This window comes from Homo sapiens, chromosome 8 (assembly GCF_000001405.40).
Source record: "Homo sapiens chromosome 8, GRCh38.p14 Primary Assembly".
NCBI lineage: Eukaryota > Metazoa > Chordata > Mammalia > Primates > Hominidae > Homo > Homo sapiens.
This window is the reverse complement of record NC_000008.11, coordinates 67,712,940-67,731,619: the sequence shown is the minus strand read 5'-3', so window position 1 is coordinate 67,731,619 and position 18,680 is coordinate 67,712,940. Positions and strand designations below refer to the sequence as shown.

At 39.8% G+C, this 18,680-nt stretch overlaps 1 protein-coding gene across 3 annotated transcripts in view, besides 6 other annotated features; it reads left to right on the top strand.

Moving 5' to 3' along the window:
- The window catches only part of CPA6 (carboxypeptidase A6), a 324,323-nt gene that overhangs the window by 14,741 nt on the left and 290,902 nt on the right, over positions 1-18,680 (top strand). The gene's annotated exons all lie outside the window — the stretch shown is intronic.
- Positions 4,012-4,306: a silencer, noted in NCBI's record as "tiled region #913; K562 Repressive non-DNase unmatched - State 24:Quies". NCBI's record gives its function as "represses a minimal TATA promoter and a strong SV40 promoter by Sharpr-MPRA in K562 cells {active_cell/tissue: K562}" and the evidence as "EXISTENCE:reporter gene assay evidence [ECO:0000049][PMID:27701403]".
- Positions 10,208-10,712: an enhancer, noted in NCBI's record as "OCT4-NANOG-H3K27ac hESC enhancer chr8:68633143-68633647 (GRCh37/hg19 assembly coordinates)". NCBI's record gives its function as "activates a minimal SCP1, AML or CMV promoter by ChIP-STARR-seq in naive and primed H9 embryonic stem cells {active_cell/tissue: H9 hESC(naive and primed)}" and the evidence as "EXISTENCE:reporter gene assay evidence [ECO:0000049][PMID:30033119]".
- Positions 10,713-11,218: an enhancer, noted in NCBI's record as "OCT4-NANOG-H3K27ac hESC enhancer chr8:68632637-68633142 (GRCh37/hg19 assembly coordinates)". NCBI's record gives its function as "activates a minimal SCP1, AML or CMV promoter by ChIP-STARR-seq in naive and primed H9 embryonic stem cells {active_cell/tissue: H9 hESC(naive and primed)}" and the evidence as "EXISTENCE:reporter gene assay evidence [ECO:0000049][PMID:30033119]".
- Positions 11,219-11,722: an enhancer, noted in NCBI's record as "OCT4-NANOG-H3K27ac-H3K4me1 hESC enhancer chr8:68632133-68632636 (GRCh37/hg19 assembly coordinates)". NCBI's record gives its function as "activates a minimal SCP1, AML or CMV promoter by ChIP-STARR-seq in naive and primed H9 embryonic stem cells {active_cell/tissue: H9 hESC(naive and primed)}" and the evidence as "EXISTENCE:reporter gene assay evidence [ECO:0000049][PMID:30033119]".
- Positions 11,723-12,228: an enhancer, noted in NCBI's record as "NANOG-H3K27ac-H3K4me1 hESC enhancer chr8:68631627-68632132 (GRCh37/hg19 assembly coordinates)". NCBI's record gives its function as "activates a minimal SCP1, AML or CMV promoter by ChIP-STARR-seq in primed H9 embryonic stem cells {active_cell/tissue: H9 hESC(primed)}" and the evidence as "EXISTENCE:reporter gene assay evidence [ECO:0000049][PMID:30033119]".
- Positions 12,832-13,126: a silencer, noted in NCBI's record as "tiled region #5318; HepG2 Repressive non-DNase unmatched - State 24:Quies". NCBI's record gives its function as "represses a minimal TATA promoter and a strong SV40 promoter by Sharpr-MPRA in HepG2 cells {active_cell/tissue: HepG2}" and the evidence as "EXISTENCE:reporter gene assay evidence [ECO:0000049][PMID:27701403]".

The following is an 18,680-nucleotide window of genomic DNA, read 5'->3' as shown; positions in this document are numbered from 1 at the left end:
CAGTAAAAATTCAAACACAGAGTTGATCAAATAAAGTTGATCAAATGTGGTTTGAAGAGTCCTCAGAATGGGGGCATTTTCTGAGCCGAGCTCAGCTTGCTGCCCAGAGAGCAGTCCAGCCTGAGGGAAAGCTGGAAATATTCAGACAGAGGTGGTGTGAAATCAGTTGGTCCCTGTGAGAAAGGCTTAAAGCCTTAGCCTTGAGTTAAGGAATTGTGGAAGAAGTGAGAGGATGGGCACCAGCTGAGAAATAGCAAAAAGTAAGGGACTCTCCAAGGGTGAAACCACACTGCATAGTTTCTCAAGAAAAAGTATAGCATACCAAAGGACTTGCCACTATCTTGGCCTCTTTTTTTGTGTGTGAAAAAGAATTTGTTTTTTTCCTTCAAATGCAACTTGTATAGACAGCATTTAATTACAGGGTGGATAACTCACCATGGACCCAGCTATTGGTAGCTTGGTTCTTTCTAGGAAAGGAATCTTAATAAGAAAAAAGTTAGATGAAATGGTAAAGTAGAATTATCGCCAATTCAAAGATTCAACCAACTATCCCCAAATTAGGTATTCTAAACCAACTAGTGGAAAGATGCAAAATCAGCATGGTCACCCAGTCTCATTTCTGTAATAGCAGGATTGCAAATAATGATTTCTTAAGAATGGATAATTTTTATGGTGACTACTTACCAAGAATTTTGTGCCCTTGAACATACAGTATAACTTATAGTTATTATACATGGCTTCTGGTAAACACATTGTATTTTTAAGTATTGATCACTCCAAAGATTCTTCTGTTCATTGTATGGGACAATGGAAAGTCAGTTACTCATTTCACTCAATCTAAAGATATCCACTATGATATTCTTATAGTAGAAACATATATATTTGGTCTTCATCCCATTTTCTGGCAAACAGCTCCTAAAATCCTTGACTCTCCAAAGTGATGTGTCTTTTTGTATGCTAATGAGATGACAGGTGATGGGGGCTTCTGGATAGCCTTCGGATGGGAGCTGGTTGCCAGGGAAACCAACCATGTGATTAGAGGTTTGGGACTTTCAGCCCCATCCCCCAACCTCCAGGGAAGTAAAAGGGACTGCAGTTTGAGCTAATCACCAGTGGTCAATGATTTAATCAATTGTGCCCTCATAACCCTCCATAAAAACCCAAAAAGGACAGGATTCAGAGAGCTTCCAGGTTGCTGAACATATGGAAGTACTGCGAGGTTGGTATCCCCACAGAGGGTCTGGAAGTTCTGGGACCCCTCCTACATACCTTGCCCTATGCCTCTCTTCCATCTGGCTCTGTATCTGTATCTTTTATAATAAATGGGTAAACATAAGTGTTTTCCTAAGTTCTGTGAGCCATCCTAGCAAATAACCAAACCCAAGGGAGGAGATTATGGGAACCCCTAATTTATAGCTGGTTGGTCAAAATTTCCAGACACCTGAACTTGAGATTGGCATGTGAAGTAGGAGGTAGTTGTGTGGGACTGGGCCACTAACCTATGAGATCTGGGGCAGTTCTGGTTAATGTCAGAATTGAATTATAGGACATCCAGCTGGTGTGAGAGAATTGCTTGTTGGGGGAATCCTCCCCCGCCCTACATCTGCTAGCAGAAATGTTCTGTGTTGAATGCTGAGTGTAGCAGGAGAAAACAGTTCTTTTCCAACATCACATCCACTGGTTTCAAAAAACAGAAATGGCCAAATTGGGGCCCGTAAGAATAGCACACCCTAAGTCCTAAGCCCTGTAACTTTCTTTACCTGCTGTCGCCATTAAGAACAACACAGCTGTTTTGCTTGGGCAGTTCAAGTGGTGATTTACATCTCCTATATTTTATATACCTATAAACTATTTGTTTCATCAGGCTCTGAGCGGCTTACAGGGATATTTATTTAATAATTTGACTAAGCCTTGCATACCCGTCTTTGTTGCCATTAATAGAAACTAGTAACCGTTTTCTTCCAGAAAACAGTTTTCCAGAACATCACTTAACTTCCTCCTGAGCACTCAGAATGCTCTGCAGTAGCACTAACTATTTTGTACTTTAATTGTTTAATTGTTTATTCTTCCTGACCAAGCTGTACTCTCTTTGGGGGAAGGAACTTCATCTTATTCTTCAAGTCCGATCTCTACAGAGATTAACAGGCACATGGAAGTTTTGTTGTTACTCCTGCAGCCACTGAAGTTGAATCACAATAAGTTGCCAGTATATGACAGTTTTTAAATCTTAAAATAACAGCAATATCAAATGGCTCAATTTAATATAAACTTTAACTCTGAAAAATTAGGGCTTTTTTTCATGCTATAAAAATACGAGCAGCTTATGTGCAGATTTTCCATTAACATATCATCAAAGCTCTATCAGGTTTACAGAGAATATTGCCAGAGCTAATGAATTTTAATGTGCAAATAAAACACTAGGGGATCTTATTGACAATGCAGATTCAGCTGCAGTCCCAGGTAGAGCCTGGGACTCTGCATTTCTAATGGGCTTCCAGGTGATGCTGACACTATGGTTCAGGCACCATGCTTTCAGGAGCAAGTTACTGAATTGCAGGATAAGGAGTCAGGTGACAAGTTCGAGATCTGCTACTAGCTATCTGTGCTACTTTAATGAAGTCACTTCATCTTTCTGGGCCTTGCTTTCTATAATGTCCAAGAATTAAATTGGGTGGTCTCTTTCTTCCAAGTCCCAGGTTTATGATCTGCTGGGGTCACCTCTACACATGTGGTTAGAGAATCCATGCAAAATAAAGGTTCGGACCACCAGCTCCATCCTCAGCCTGCCTGGGTTCATGTCCTAGTTCTTCCACTTACTAGTGATGTGATAATTGGAAGGAATTACTTAATATCCCTGTGCCTCAATTTTCTCATATCTAAAATAGAACTAATATTGAATAAGTTCATATATGTAAAATGCTTAGGCAGAGACTAGGACAAATAAACTCAATAAATGTAAGCTATTTGCAGTATTAATACTCTCTACAGTTTCATTTCTAAAAAGCTTTCCTAAGGGGATTATCTGAAATGTAGGCAAAGATTTAGAGTGCATGGAAAGACGTTTGTTATCAATTTATTTAGTCTATCAAAACTTGGGATGCTACCTATGTGTTCAACAATGAGAAAGGCTCATTATAGTGCAAATTATAGACCCTTTTGTGCCGGCTATAAATGTCTATAAATAATTTTTAATGCTCAAGATTCTATAGAGGTAAAGGAAAATTCTCACTCCCCCTCTGAAGGTTGGCAAATGCTGAAAAAAAAGGTATACAAGTGTATTAATGTGCATAAACACAGGGGAATCACAGGAGAAAGATTACCCAATTCCCCAATGAGGTTTAGAAGTTCATATACTCTTCTTCATAGAGGAGAGGTAAGTGGGGAGTGTAGGAAATGTCAAGGGGTAGTAAATGACTTTTAGGGGAATTAAATGGGCCCAAAGGACAGATAATAGTTTGTTTTGTTTTGTTTTGTTTTGTTTTGTTTGTTTTTTGTTGTTGTTTTGTTGGTTTTTGTGGGTTTTTTTTGTTTTTTTTTTTTTTGAGACAGAGTCTCACTCCGTCGCCCAGGCTAGAGTGCTGTAGTGCTATCTCGGCTCACTGCAAGCTCTGCCTCCTGGGTTCACACCATTCTTCTGCCTCAGCCTCCCGAGTAGCTGGGACTACAGGCACTTGCCACCACACCAGGCTAATTTTTTGTGTTTTCAGTAGAGACGAGGTTTCACTGTGTTAGCCAGGATGGTCTCGATCTCCTGACCTCGTGATCCACCTGCCTCAGCCTCCCAAAGTGCTGGGATTACAGGCATGAGCCACTGCGTCTGTCCAGATAATAGTTTTTAAATGATTCTAATGGGATGAAGAACAGAGAATAGTTTGTGGACAAGTCCTAGGAAGGTGAGGGGCATAACTGCCCTGTGAACAAAAGTTGTCTTATTATGCAGATAAAGTCTCCCAGGTAATCTCTCAGAACAGACCTCAAAAGAATAAATGAAAAGTCTGTCTGGGCATGATGAGAAAGACTTTTAGTCTTTCCTTTTCTCTGGTGATTAATCCTTCCTGGTTAGTTGAGATGCCCGAGGGAGAGGGTTTCAAGACAATTGCACTTCTTTTGGAAGAAGTTTTCTGAGTCAGATAAGGGAAGTTCCAGAGGCAGCCTCTCCCTGTGGGGGTTAAGGGGGGCAGTGGGGAACTGCAGACAAGAGAAGGTTAGAAAGTTCTTGATTCTGAGGCAGCATCTAAGGTCTTCCAATTTCCTTTAATTCAAAAGTGCTCAACATGCCAAAGCACCATACTTTGGGGTATTCTGTGAGCCCCAACAATACAATAAAAAATGAGAAAATAGGATACAAAGGTATCAGTAGTTTTGGTTTTGCTATATGATATAGTTAACTATATCTGGGGGGAAAGCTCCAAAATAACAAGTGGTTGTTATGTCCAAGTGACACTGTAACATAGGGTTTTTTTTTCTTTCTCCCTATACTTTTTTCTGTATTTACTAATTCTTCTGCATGAAGCATGAACAGCTTTTATAATCAGATTAAAAGTAATTTTAAGCATGTGTAAATTCTCAAAAAGATTTTTAAAAAATCAACCCTATAGCAAGAATTGCAGCTTCTGTGGTGCCTTGTGCCAAAACCATTCTAAAATCATTGCAAATAAGAATCAGAAGTTAGTAAATTTAACAATACAACACTCAGTGCCAAACTAATGACTGAAAAGAAAAACAAGCATGTTCCTCCTTTATTTCTAACTGAAAATGAGATTATTGAATATTCCAATGAAGCATTAAATGGCCAAAGTGGCTGTCTTGCTGCGTGTCACATAGATACTGGAGAGATGTGAAACAGAGGAGCAGTGCTCGAGGCCTTTCGGCTTAGAATAATGCCAGAACCTCCCTGCATCATGCTGATATATGCATTTAAGTAAATGGATTTTCAAATAGAAATTCTTCAGTGGTCTCAATATCACAGTATGATTAAATCTGTATTTAGATTTTTATTTAAAAGTTAGGAAAAAAGCATTTGAAATGACTGGAGGGAGAATTCATTACACTTTCATATGTATTCCCCTATAACATGTATTTTTCCAAGCCTGAACAAGCCCATTTTAAGAAGACTTTCCAGAAAAAATATTTGCCAGCAGTTTCTTGCACCATCAATTACTTTTTAAAACTACAATAATAGCCATCGTTAGAACCTCGTCCAGGTTAAACGTCGTCATTTGCCAAAGAAGGCTAGGGGCTATTTTTTCTTGCCTCTGTGAAGCATGGATTGAAAGGAAAGTTTGTCTGCATAAATTTTCTACTGCTACTCCACTGCTTGATAAAATTCCTCTTCCCTAATCTTTTCTGACTTTCCATCACTTTGAACTTCTCACTGTTTGAGTAGACATCACCAGTGATCTATATATACTTCATTATCTCCCTAACCAGTAACCTCAACCTGAAAACTATAAGAAAAAGAGCTTCTGAATAAAAATTATTTTTCAATCACTTACAAATCATTTTTCTTGGCCTCTGTCTTGCTCTCATGAGTTCTAAAACCTTGATTAAAGAGGCTTTTGTCTTAAAACTCAGGCTTCTGGTTAAGGAATGTTGAAAAATCTTAAATTTGCAGCTATCTTAAGTGACAGATCATAGCGCAAATCTGGGGTACCCATTGTCATCCAGAAAAAAAATTATCTTCAAAGTAGGATGGTCCAAAGTAGCATACATATCTAAAATTTATTTTATCTCATTCTTAAGTACATTTTAATTTTTTGTGTTTTATAATGTAAATAGCCAAGCATGGTGGCTTACGCATGTTATCCCAGCACTTTGGGAGGCTGAGGCAGGAGGATTGCTGAACCAGGAGGATTGCTTGAGGCCAAGATTGCTTGAGACCAGCCTGAGTGACACAGCAATACCTTGTCTCTACAAAAACAATTTTAAAATAAAACCCAGGCACAGTGGCACAAGTCTGTGGTCCTAGCTACTCTAGAGGCAGAGGTGAGAGGATCTCTTGAACCCACGAGTTCAAGGTTGCAGTGAGCTATGGTTGTGCCACTGCACTCCAGCCTGGGTGACAGAGTGACTCCATCTCTAAAAAAACGAAATGTAAAATACTGGTACATTAAGTAACAATGTAGATGTAAAATGACTTAAAGTCTATGGAGATTGAAGTTGCTTACAATTTTCAGTCATGAAGTTTTGAAAATGGAGGTGATGATGATCTCAAAGTTCCTTGTTCACCAACAACAGCATATACTGAGGCCTATATTCATTTATTTGTTAAATTTGTATTGAGCACCTATATGTCCCAAATTGTTTTAGATATTAGGAATATAAAGGGCTAGCACTAAGGCAGAAAAAAAGCACCTGTTTTGTGAAGCCCATAATTTCACGAGGGAAACAAACAATGAACAAGTAAACAGTTATAAACTCTTACAACAGCTATGATATAAATAAACAAGATACTGTGGTTTTTCTTTACTCATTCAACAAAGGTTTTGATCATCTAATACATACCTGGAACCATGCTAAGCACTCTACACAAAATGGACATGATCCTTGTTTTCACTGAATTTCCACTCTAGCCCAGGTAGCCGACTATTCTAGCCCAGGTAACTCAGATTAATTACAACTGTGGTTAAAGTTATAAGGGACTTCTCCTTTATAACTTGTTAACACAGAATGCTAACAACTCAGAAGGAACTGATAACCAAAAATTGGGGGATGAGTCTAAGATGGAAGAGGACTTCCTGAAGATGTTATCCTTAAGGCAGGGCCTTGAATGATGAGGAATTTGTTGGGCATGGCTGTGAGAGCAGATCAGAGCTGTTGAGAGTCTCCAGCTTGGGAAAGGAAGTAAGGGGTACATGATTGCTCCCGTTGCTTACTGATTATTTTTAATTGTGTGGTTTTAAGGGAAACTGGGCCCAATGGCTTACTGTCAGTTGTATGTAGGACATTAGACTTTGCAAAGCACTTTGTCTTGGGTTGTCTCAGTTGTTCCTCATCTATGTGTGTGGTATGCAAGTAGTTGCTTTCAATTCTCATAGATATAAGTGCTACACAGGTGTCTTCTCAAAACTCAGTTTCTAAACTCTGCAAGTAAATGTGTCCTTCCGTTGTAGGGCACACCTGAAATTGGTGAAGTGGTGCTCAGTGGGGCTTTTTGTTTTGTGTACAGAGCTTTCTGAATATAAGCTTTTGGCTTCAAGAAGCATTGAGCTGCTGTAAGTTCGCTGCAGAGTTGAAAGGGGAGACGTGGGGGCACACGTCAAAAGGACAGCTCAGCTGTGATTAGGAGGTATGTGAGGTTTACCAAAGGCAACACACCACATGAGAAAATCAGACCCTGGTGCCAAGAGGCCCTACAGCTAGAGAAAAGAGGTGAGTGTGAGAAGGCCATGTAGGAGGAGAGACATCTACTCATTGATGTATCTGATGTAAACAAGCACAGGTTCTACATTTTAAACACAGGGGACTTCAGAAGTAGTGTGTCAGAGAGGGAAAAAAGTCAGTGAATTTGTATGCTTTGCTCATTTTTGGGTTTTTTTAAATTTTTAATTTTGCATTTTCTTATCAGCTTCTGAGAGAACCATGTATTAGAGATATTAATCCTTTGTGTATCATATCTGTAACACATGCTTCTTTACCAATCTGTCATTTGTCTTTTGACTTTTTCTGTAAGGAAAAGAGCAATAGAAACCATCTTAATGGTTATAATTCAAATCCACCATTAGTTTTTCTTTCTTTGTGGTATTTAGTTTTAGCTTGTTTAAAAATGTCAAATATTGCTCCCACTCTAAATATTCTAGGATTGTTTTCCTGCTGATTTTGCATAATTTTTCTTTTTTACATTTAGATCTTTATATGGAATTATTTTTTTGTACACAGTATAAGGAAGAATATAACTTAATTTTATCCTAGAGGGCCATTTACAGAAGAGAATATGCAAAGAAAAACTAACTTACATAAAAAGGCACATTTCACTCACAAGGAAATGCAAATTAAAACAATTAAGTGTTTTAATTTTTCCCATAGATAGAAAATGCTTAGTGCTGGTGAGGATGAGGAAGCAACTGGAACTGTCATATAGTGCCAGAGAAGGTCAAATTGTTATAACCTCTTCGGAAAGTAATCAGCTGAATCTAATAAAAGTTAAGATCCTCCGCCACGCACGGTGGCTCACGCCTGTAATCCTAACACTTTGGGAGGCCAAAGAGGGTTGATTCCTTGAGCCTAGGAGGTTGAGACAAGTCTAGGCAACATGGTGAGACCCTCGTCTCTATTTAAATAAAAATTTCTATATGTCAAAAAAAGTTTTAAGAGTTAAGATCCTCACACCCTTTTGATAAATCCTATTAGAAAATACCTGTCTGAAATAAAATAATTAGCATGTGTGTTAAAATTGTAGCACTGTATGTGTTGATTTTTCTAAAAGCTGAAAACAAAGTCCATCAGTACGGGAACAATAGAAAAATCATGATATATCTATAATATGGAATGTTATGAGGCTATTACAAAGAATGAGTTATGGCATATATTGAACTAGAGGGGTGTGTGTGATATATTTTAAAATGAAAATAGAGTTTGAGAGTAATATGTATGATTCTATTTTGGAAATGTGCTGATTTTTAGAGTGTAGGGGATGTTTTAGTGTATGTTTAGGTTTTTCTTTTGGTGGGGAGGAAATGGTGGTAGTGGTAATTTGTGAGCGTAAATCAACTTCTCCCTTTAACATTAAAATGGTCTGGTATACCAACATGAGAGATTTAATTTTATTACATAGTGATGTATTTCATAAGAACTGAACTAAGTAAGAAGAAACCTGGGTTCCATTTTGATTTGCATGTCTTGGACTTGTCATTGTGTTCCTGGCATCTCTTCTTCCCAACACATGATGAGGAAATAAAAAATATCAAGTGCTCCAAATGTCCCTGAAATAAGGGTATCATAGGGCAAAAGGATAATCTTTCCCCTACAGTTTGTAAGCTCTGGTTAAAGGCCAAGGTTTCCAAGTTTATAAATTAGTATCTCAGTTTCAGCCGATCAGGGAAGGACCATCATTCTTTTCATTTGAGAGAAGTTCGGTACTGTGATGCTCATACTTAGCATATAGGATATGTAAGCTCAGACCAGGTCACAGCCTAGTTTACTTCACCGCACACATCTAGAAGGAAATGAGCGGCTCTCAAAGCTGATTTTTTTTTATTAGAATTACCTGCAGATTTAAAAAATGTAACTACAAACACCCTGGGCTTGCCCCAGATGTACTGAATTGGAGTATCCAGAAATTGGACCCAGGAATTTATTTTTTCAGTGATTACCAGGTGGTTCTGATGCATCTCATCCATAGACTGTTGTTTGGGGACTATTGTTGAAATCTAGTAAATGAAGTCAAGCTGCCTGCCGAAGGTCAAATATAGGCAGTGATAGCAATGTTAAAAGAAAAACCTTAGACAAATTTAACAGAGTTTAAATGGGCAAAGAATGATTCCAAAATCAGGCAGTTCCCGAAACAATAGATTCAGAGAGGCTCCAGTGCTACCTTGTAGTCCAAGATTTATGAGCAGAGAAAGGAATATGACATACAAAAAATGTAAGTGAGGTACAGAAACATTCAGATTGGTTACAGCTTGGCATTTGCCTTATTTGAACCCAGTTTGAACAATTGGCTTCCATTGACTGGCCGAAACTCGGTGACTGGCACAAGAGTAGGTTACAGTCCATTTACATCTCTAGTTAAGTTAAGGTTCCCTATGTACGGAGAAACCTTTAAGACACGTAAAGAGGCAGCTTTAGGCTAAACATAATGGCAACAAGCATTTTGAAAGCCCCTACCATAAAAAAGTAACTTTTAGTGCTAAGCCTGCCTGTACAGCAGGCAAAATTTGTAAAATTCAAACATGCAAAATTTCTGGGGTTTTTTTCCCACTTTTGAGAAGCCATTGATCCGTGATAGGGGTTTTTTGTTAAAGTAACGTACCAGCCTTGCCATAGAAAGTATAACCCTGCACCTCTATCGTTCATCTGCACCTGACCTTCCCTGTCAGTGTCCTGATACTAGTTATATTGTGGTGTCCAGCTACAATGCATATACTTTGTTTCAAAAACTCAGTCATCTGGGTGACAAGGTACATCAAAATCTTTGCAAAAGTAAAACTAGTATACAAATCCTAGTTGTATATTCCTCTGCTTCTTCTCTGAGTAGTGGATATGTGACTTATTTAAAAGTCAAAAGAAAATCTGTTAACAACAGACCTTCAATATCTGAAACCCTTAAAGACTATTACCACTAACAGAGAAAGACCAAGTTGAAAGGGAACCTTTTAGAAAGACTGAGACAAAGCAAATGGCACGCATGGTATTTCTTTTTAGCCTCTAAGGCAGTAAAGTACCAGATGTCATACAACAAAGTCCGAGAGGACCTTGTAACCTAATGGGCGTAGCCAGAGTGCTCAGCTTTAAAAAGCTCTTGGGCTTATAAAAGGAAGCAAGTTGGCACCATTAACTCCATATGTTAGACTTAGGAAATTTTTTTGCCAGCCTGCTTTGATTTATTCAAACATTTGTAATGTTGAACCTTTGTATTAAAATGGAGAGTATAAGTAAATGTTTGTTCAATCCCTAATAGGGAGTTTTTCACATAGTGGGTTGCTTAGTAAATATTTGGTAACAGTATTATGTGGTGCCTCCTAATTGTGCAGTTGGAAGAGGAGAGATCAACTCAGGTTGATCTTTCTTAGGCTGAATAAACTATGCAAAGTATGCATTGACTGCATCTCTAGTGGAGGCAGCCAGGAAGTGATCAACAAGGTGAAGAGGCTCTGGAGCAGAACTGTGTCTGAACGCACAGCTCTTCATTCAAAGAAGTTAAAAGTGAGCCATGTTTCAAGGTTCAGGGTACACAATGCGGCGATATAAAATTACCCAAGGGCCTATCCGTTTTGACAGCTCTTTACTTTTGTTAAATTCTATTTCCTTGAAGCATGTGGACTAATGTAAATAAATGTGGCCCTCGCAGTTTTCTGACCACTTCTCCTTTTACTCCGTCACTGGATCCCATCCCCTCCCGCCCGTTTCTGATGCTTAGGTGACAGTTCGGAGCTCAGTGTCTGTGAGCGCTGAGTTCTCTGTCTCAGAGACATTGGTCATTTTCATGGCTTAGCTATGGCCTGTGTTCTGATGACTCTCAAACCTGCATTTCCTGCCCTGGCTTCTGTCAGGCCTCTGAGCCCAAGCCAAGCCATCGCATCCCCTGTGACTTGCACATATCCGCCCAGATGGCCTGAAGTAACTGAAGAATCACAAAAGAAGTGAATATGCCCTGCCCCACCTTAACTGATGACATTCCACCACAAAAGAAGTGTAAATGGCCGGTCCTTGCCTTAACTGATGACATTACCTTGTGAAAGTCCTTTTCCTGGCTCATCCTGGCTCAAAAAGCACCCCCACTGAGCACCTTGCGACCCCCACTCCTGCCCGCCAGAGAACAAACCCCCTTTGACTGTAATTTTCCTTTACCTACCCAAATCCTGTAAAACCGCCCCACCCTTATCTCCCTTCGCTGACTCTCTTTTCGGACTCAGCCCACCTGCCCCCAGGTGATTAAAAGCTTTATTGCTCACACAAAGCCTGTTTGGTGGTCTCTTCACACGGACGCGCATGAAAGCTTCTTACCCACAACTCAGTCCCATATGTCCAGTTGGTTGCTGGACACGGATGTGGATGCATGGACGCCAACTTCTCTAAAATAGTTCATCATTTTATTCCACATACAATCTTCCCTGCCCCCTTTCCTTATTCTCATTCAATTTAGAGAAACCCAGCCACGCAGAATCAAAACCTCATTTTTCTTTCTCCCCTACTTCAGTCGCTTACTAAGTCTTGTCGCTCCTGTCACAATTTCTTCCCAGGGCTTCATTTCTCTCATGCTGCCGTCATTATTTTATGCCTGCATGACTGTAACAGCCCCTACCTTGCCTCTCTGCTTCCAGTTTCACCCCCTCCAATTGACTGTGCACATCAGTATCAAATTAATCTTCCGAAAGTGCCTTTTTGTTATGTTGCTCTGCTGATCCGAAACACTTCAGTGGACCAGGGCAACTCAAGAATCAAGTCCAAACTCATTTGTTTGACATCCAAGGCCCTCCATAACTTGGCCCACTGCAGCCCTTGCCTTTCCCCTTTAATTTTTTTTTCCCCGAAATAAATTCTGTTCTGATCAGAGTGGTCCTGCCCATTTCCCCAATCCTGACCACAGCATGCCCACACCCCATTCCCTCCATCTGTATCCACTCGGGATGCTACCCCTCATTCTTTCCTCCTGAGTTGTCCCTGACCTTCAGCCGCTCATTTTAAGTTTCATTTCTACCATTGACCAAACAATCCCACAGGGACATCTCTCCCCTGGCATGCTCTTTGTTCCCCCAGTTCTAAGCACCTTAAGTATAAAGTCCATGTCTTCAACTACTTTATATGCCTTTCATAGGGCTTCATAAATAGTAAATGCTCCAAAAAGATGTATTGCTTTGACTAGATTTGGAGCCTAGCTTGTTGTCTTGATCATGATTTTCAATTCAACTTGCCCAAAAGAATAAGAGAAAAAAAAATATTGGCAGCCAGACTCAGCTTTTCCCCCTACCTAAGGTTCAAACAGGAAGATAGTTCCATGAATTAAATTTAACACTTGGCCAGGTGCGGTGGCTCATGCCTGTAATCCCAGCACTTCAGGAGGCCGAGGTGGGCAGATCACAAGGTCAGGAGATTGAGACCATCCTAGCCAACATGGTGAAACCCCGTCTCTACTAAAAATACAAAAATTAGCTGGGTGTGGTGACACGTACCTGTAATCCCAGCTACTCAGGAGGCTGAGGGAGGAGAATCACTTGAACCTGGGAGTTGGAGTTTGCAGTGAGCTGAGATCACGCCACTGCACTCCAGCCTGGTGACAGAGCAACACTACATCTCAAAAAAAAAAAAAAAACTTCAGCTGTCTATGTGCAGATAACCCATATCTCCTACAATTGGGAAATCTGTACTTAGGGAAAGGTATCAGTCCAGATTAAGATGTGGAGAAGAGACTCTTGGCAGAGAAACACTTTCTGAGTCACCAAATGAAAAAAATGCCTGTGTGGGGATTATCTGACCTGCACATGTACCTTTCATCACAGCCATACATAACCCATGGTCCTAGCCTAGGTGAATGAGGCAACAGGCATAGACCTGAAAGATTTTCATAATATTTTGCAAATTCTGTCCTCCTGACCCTTATCCAGAAGAGTAAGTTCTTATTTTCTCTGGCTATAATTTTCTTAACCCAAATTGGCTTTTAAAACATTAAAAAAAAATACCTCACAATTCTTAAAACCCTTGCATGAGTTTCTGGATAGTTACCTTGTTTTCTTAATTGTGACAACCAGGAGTCATTAGGACTTAAAATATTTTGTTGTGTGAGTTGGGGAGTCTTTAAGAATCAGTTAGGTATTCTAGAAAATGGTAGACCCAGAGAATGAACCAAGGTAGGCTGGCTTAGGAGAGGACAATTATAGTTCTTCTAGGAGGCAAAACATAATGAATGTCACACACAGACACACACACGTCTGTGTCTTTTAGTGTTATAGACTCAGCCCCAAAGGTGTTTATCTCCCGAAAGCCTGCTTCCACTAACAGTATACCCACTAGACTAGAATCAAGGTGTCAACAGGGCCATATTCCAATTGAACTCTCTCAGGGACAATCAGGCCCTTGCCTCTTCCACCTTCTGGTAACAGCCAGTTTATGGCCAACTCCCTCCTAGCTCTTCCTCCATGGTCCTATTGCCCTCCCTTCTCTTCTGTATCAAATCTCACTAGCAATTGCACCGAAGGCCCACTAGGACACTCCAGGGTCATCTCCCATTTCAAAATCCTTAACTTTATCACATCTGCAAGTGTTCTCTCTTTTGCCACATAAGGTAATATTCACAGGTCCCAGGGATATCTTTTGGGAGGCCATTCTCTAGCCTACCACAATGATGAACTATTATTATTTTGTATAGATCAAATACCACATAGTTAAGCTCTTAAATCATAAAGCAGCAAGATGTCAAAGAATATACACCATATGGGTAAGAGTGGTTATCTCTTGGGAGTGCTTAGTGGGGGATTTTCATTTTCAATGTATGTTTTTGAAGAATTTTATAGAGAGTGTGTGATTGATATGTCTGTATTTGGGGATAAAACAATAAGGATTAAAGCAGAGAAAAGATACTTCTGGCAATTCTAAAGGAAGCCAACAATGTCCCAGTTGGGTACCTCCACTCTTGATGTCATAGCACTTATTTCCAGCTCTCTCTTCCTTCCCTCCCCTGTGCAGCTGTGCTCCTTTCTCTCATCTGTGCAATTTGGATTGAAAACACACTTCAGGCAATTACATCCAAACTCGGTGTGCTTGGCTTCAAAGTCCCGGCTATTCCCTCTGTTGCAGGCTATTTTTCCTAATTTCCTCCTTCAAAGACCAAAGAAAGAAGTTTCCAGAAGGAAGGGGATGAGGAGAATAATTAGAAGAAATAAGAAATTCCTTTTTGTACCCATGCTGTGAGATCTCTTAATTCTGTTATTGTTTTTATTTTTTTCTTCCCTCAACAAGGGCTGCAGTATCCTACTACATAGAAACAAACATACTCCTCCCTCATTTCTAAAACCCTACCATGTGTGGAATGGTATGCTGCTAACTATATATCATTATTCATTTTCTCAACCTGCATTTGTGGAGCAGTTGGCTATTTTTCAGCTACTATGAACAGCTGGCTGAAAATACAGTGATGAATAAGATAAAGGCTGCAAAAGGAAAATAAATCTGGGGGCCAAAAAATCACTAAGCCAAAAGGAAAAGTCAAGCTGGGAATGGCATCAGGCAAACCTGCCTCCCATTTTATTCCTAAATAAGATAGCTACAAAGATTTAAAAATAAAAGAAGCTGCACACCTCCCTTTCAATTTGCCTACAAGGAAATTCCTCATGGGCAAAGGACAGACAGAAATCAAAGCCATTCTTCTGTTCATCTTTGACAAATTCATATCTGATTGCTTCCTCTGCCCTATTGTTTCACTAAGACAGACTGAGGCATAAGAGATTATTCCTCTACCTTCCTCTCGCATGTAAATTGTGTATTCAGTGAAAAGCTGATCAGAGACTCAAAAGAATGTAACCATTTGTCTCTTATCTACCTTTGACCTGGAAGTCCCCTTCCCTGCCTTTCCAGACCAAACCAATGTACACCTTACATGTGTTGATTGATGTCTCATCTCTCCCTAAAATGTGTAGGACCTGTATCTTATGCGACCTATCTCATTCTGTGACTTAGAATGTCTAACCTCCTGGGAATGCAACCTATTAGGTCTCAGACTCATTTTACCCAGCACTTATTCAAGATGGAGTTGCTTTGACTCAAACGCCTCTGACACTTCTCTCTCTCCTTTTTTTTTTTTTTTTTTTTTTTTTTGAGACAAGCTCACTCTCTCGCCCAGGCTGGAGTACAATGGCGTGATCTCGGCTCACTGCAACCTCCACCTCCTGGGTTCAAGTGATTCTCCTGCCTCAGCCTTTTGAGTAGCTGGGATTGCAGGTGCCTGCCACCACACCCAGCTAATTTTTGTATTTTTAGTAGAGATGGGGTTTCACCACGTTGGTCCGGCTGATCTCGAACTCCTGACCTTAGGTGATCCACCCGTCTCGGCCTCCCAAAGTGTTGGGATTACAGGCCTGAGCCACCGCGCCCTGCCCACTGCTATTTCTTTAACATCCAATTTCTTTACAAGTGCCTTAGAAAGTCTGAAGGATCCATATGTCTGATAACCCAAGTACATATTTTGAATTAGAAATGTTGTTTCCTTCTAAAGGAGATTTTGTTACGTTAATGGCCAAATTTGTAAACCCCATAATTAGTCTATAAATTTATTAAAGAACTATAGTCACTATTATGTTACGACCATTTGGCCATATCAAAAAGGCATTTGTACTTATGAGCAACAGAGGACATTTTCCGCTGTTTTGGAAATAACCGAGTGTTTTTCCTTGTATATGTAATCAGACTTTTAATTAAACCAACTTGGTTTATCACTAGGTGCAATCACAGAGGTAAACACAGCTGGTGTGGGCATGTGGCTGGAATACATTGGAAAATGGAAGTGGAAGATCTGTTAAAAAACTGCCAATCTTCCTTTTATTCACTTCAAACATTGCAGAGAAGGGCTAGTTTTCACTAAATGAAGGCAGCAGTAAAGTGACTTCGTGAGTGGCATGAGCCATCTAGCAAATTATGGAACCTAAGAAGGGGGTCATGGGAACCCCCAGTTTATAGCCAGTTGGTCAGAAATATAGGAGGCCCAGAATTTAGAATTGGCATTGGAAGTAGAGGCAGGCTTGTGAGGCTGGCTGAGCCCTTAACCTGTGGCAGGGTCTGAGCTAACTCTGGGTAGTCAGCATCAGACTGGAATTTAATCATAGGACACCCAGTTGGTAGCAGTTGCATTAGAGAATTGGTTTGTATCGGGAAAAAAAAACAAAAACCACATTTGCTGTCAGAAATATTGTGGGTAAAAATGGCTAAGCTGCCAAAGAGTAGTTCTCTTATCGGTGACTTAAGGAGGATCTCATTCCAAGGGAGGTGCCTTTTCTAATACTGGAAGCCTATGATAGCTCCTTGTTTCTTTTAGTTGCTTGGTTTAGTCTGGGCTTTAAAAATGTATATATTTTTAAATTCTCAAATGACACTATAAGCTCAATGAGAGTAGAAAGGGATCCCAACAGTATTGGATGCACATTAAGTTTTTATCATACTTGTCTCTAATTGAGTGTTATGACTCCTGTTTCTACAAAGTCTATTTCCAGTAAGCCCAGTCTGTGAGCTGCCACTTTGCCAATAAAACAACTGAGAGAGCTAAGGAAGGCACTTAATCCTGAGCTTTATTTATCTATTTACTCACTTTACTTACTCTGTCGCCCAGGCTGGAGTGCAGTGGTGCTATCATGGCTGACTGCAGCCCCCGACCTCAACCTTCCAAGTAGCTGGGACTACAGGTGCACACCACCACACCTGGCTGATTTTTTTTAACTTTTCTAGAGACAGGGTCTCCCTATGATTGGGCTCAAGCAAACCTCCTGAGCCTGAGGAGTGCTCGGGCTCCCGAAGTGCTAGGATTGCAATTTAAGCTTTAAACGTTATGCCTGAAGGCAGACTTTAGCTCAGAATTAGGATACTAGGAGATACCCTAAGATCTTTGGGGAATCATCACCACCTGAACACAGTTTTCTCTGCAATCACCACCCTTCTCATTTCTCCTCAGTTGGGGCAAATTCTCCTTTTTAGTCGCTTTCCACTCTGATTTTGAGTATCCCTCATACCCCAGTTTTCATCACTGGAATAATCCTCTATATCTTGAGAGTGGAGACGCGGTGAAGAAGTAATGTATAACTTATGTACCCCATAATATATTTGTTTGGGTATAATAAACAGATACATTTATGATCAGAATTCAAACTTATAGATACTTGGAACATTTAAATGCAACCTTCTAAAGAACCTCGTTTCCAGGCAAAAATTTTAACCTTGATATTTAAAAAAAAAATTTTAACATGGCAATTATTTTAATTTGGAGTTTACGTAAAACCAGAAGGATTAAAATTCATATATATCTGGCTTTTAACAGTCACCAGAGCACCTGAATTTCAGCTTAGTCCCTGTGCTAAGAAAGAAAAGCAGAAAGTAAATAGCAATTGAATGCAGCTGTAAATCAGAAATGTATGCAACAGTTAATTTAAGGTATAAAACTAAAGCAGCACTTCCACTGGCCAGTATATTGTAAAATCTGTCTTCTCTTAGAATTAAAGAAAAACTAAATGAGGCCATTTGGAGGCTGGAAACACTTTAGAAATGCTCACTGTGTCAAATGCTATGATGGAAACTGCAATTATAATCTGAGTGACTCAGAAACAATGGATGAAATATTCCCAGGCCGCCTATAAACTACCCAGGGCATTTACTGTCTACTACTTGTTACACAAAATGTGTGTATTCCAAGTTCTACTAAGCCTAATTGCTAGAGCAGGGAGAGGTTTCTCCTCACTCTTTTTCACTAAAGCAGAGCCATGAACTGATTACATGGAATAAATCGCTTGTTAGGGCCAATGGTAAAACCCGAAACAAAGAAATGACACAGCTAAGTATCCATGCAGACACACTACTTAATCAGGTTCTCTCTATTTAGGCTTCATCCTCTACCAAAACCAAACTCCAGGTATGGTAGTCACCCCCACTTATCCACAGTTTCACTTGTTTGTTACCTGAGATCAACTGGTTTCAGTTTGTTACCTGAGATCGACTGTGGTCTGAAAATATTAAATCCTGATCATTATAATAGACAAAAGGTACAGTAGTCCTCCCTTGTTCACGGGGGATATGTTCCAGAATCCCCAGTGGATGCCTGAAACTGAGGCTAGTACTGAACCCTGTTAATATATATATATATATATATATATATATATATATATATATACACACACACACACACATACACACACAGATACACACATGCTTATAAAGTTTAATGTGTACATTAGAAAGTAAGAGATTAATAACTAATAATAAATAGAATAATTTATTATTTTAATCATGACTCTTTGCACTTTGGGGCTATTATTGAGTGAAATAAGGGT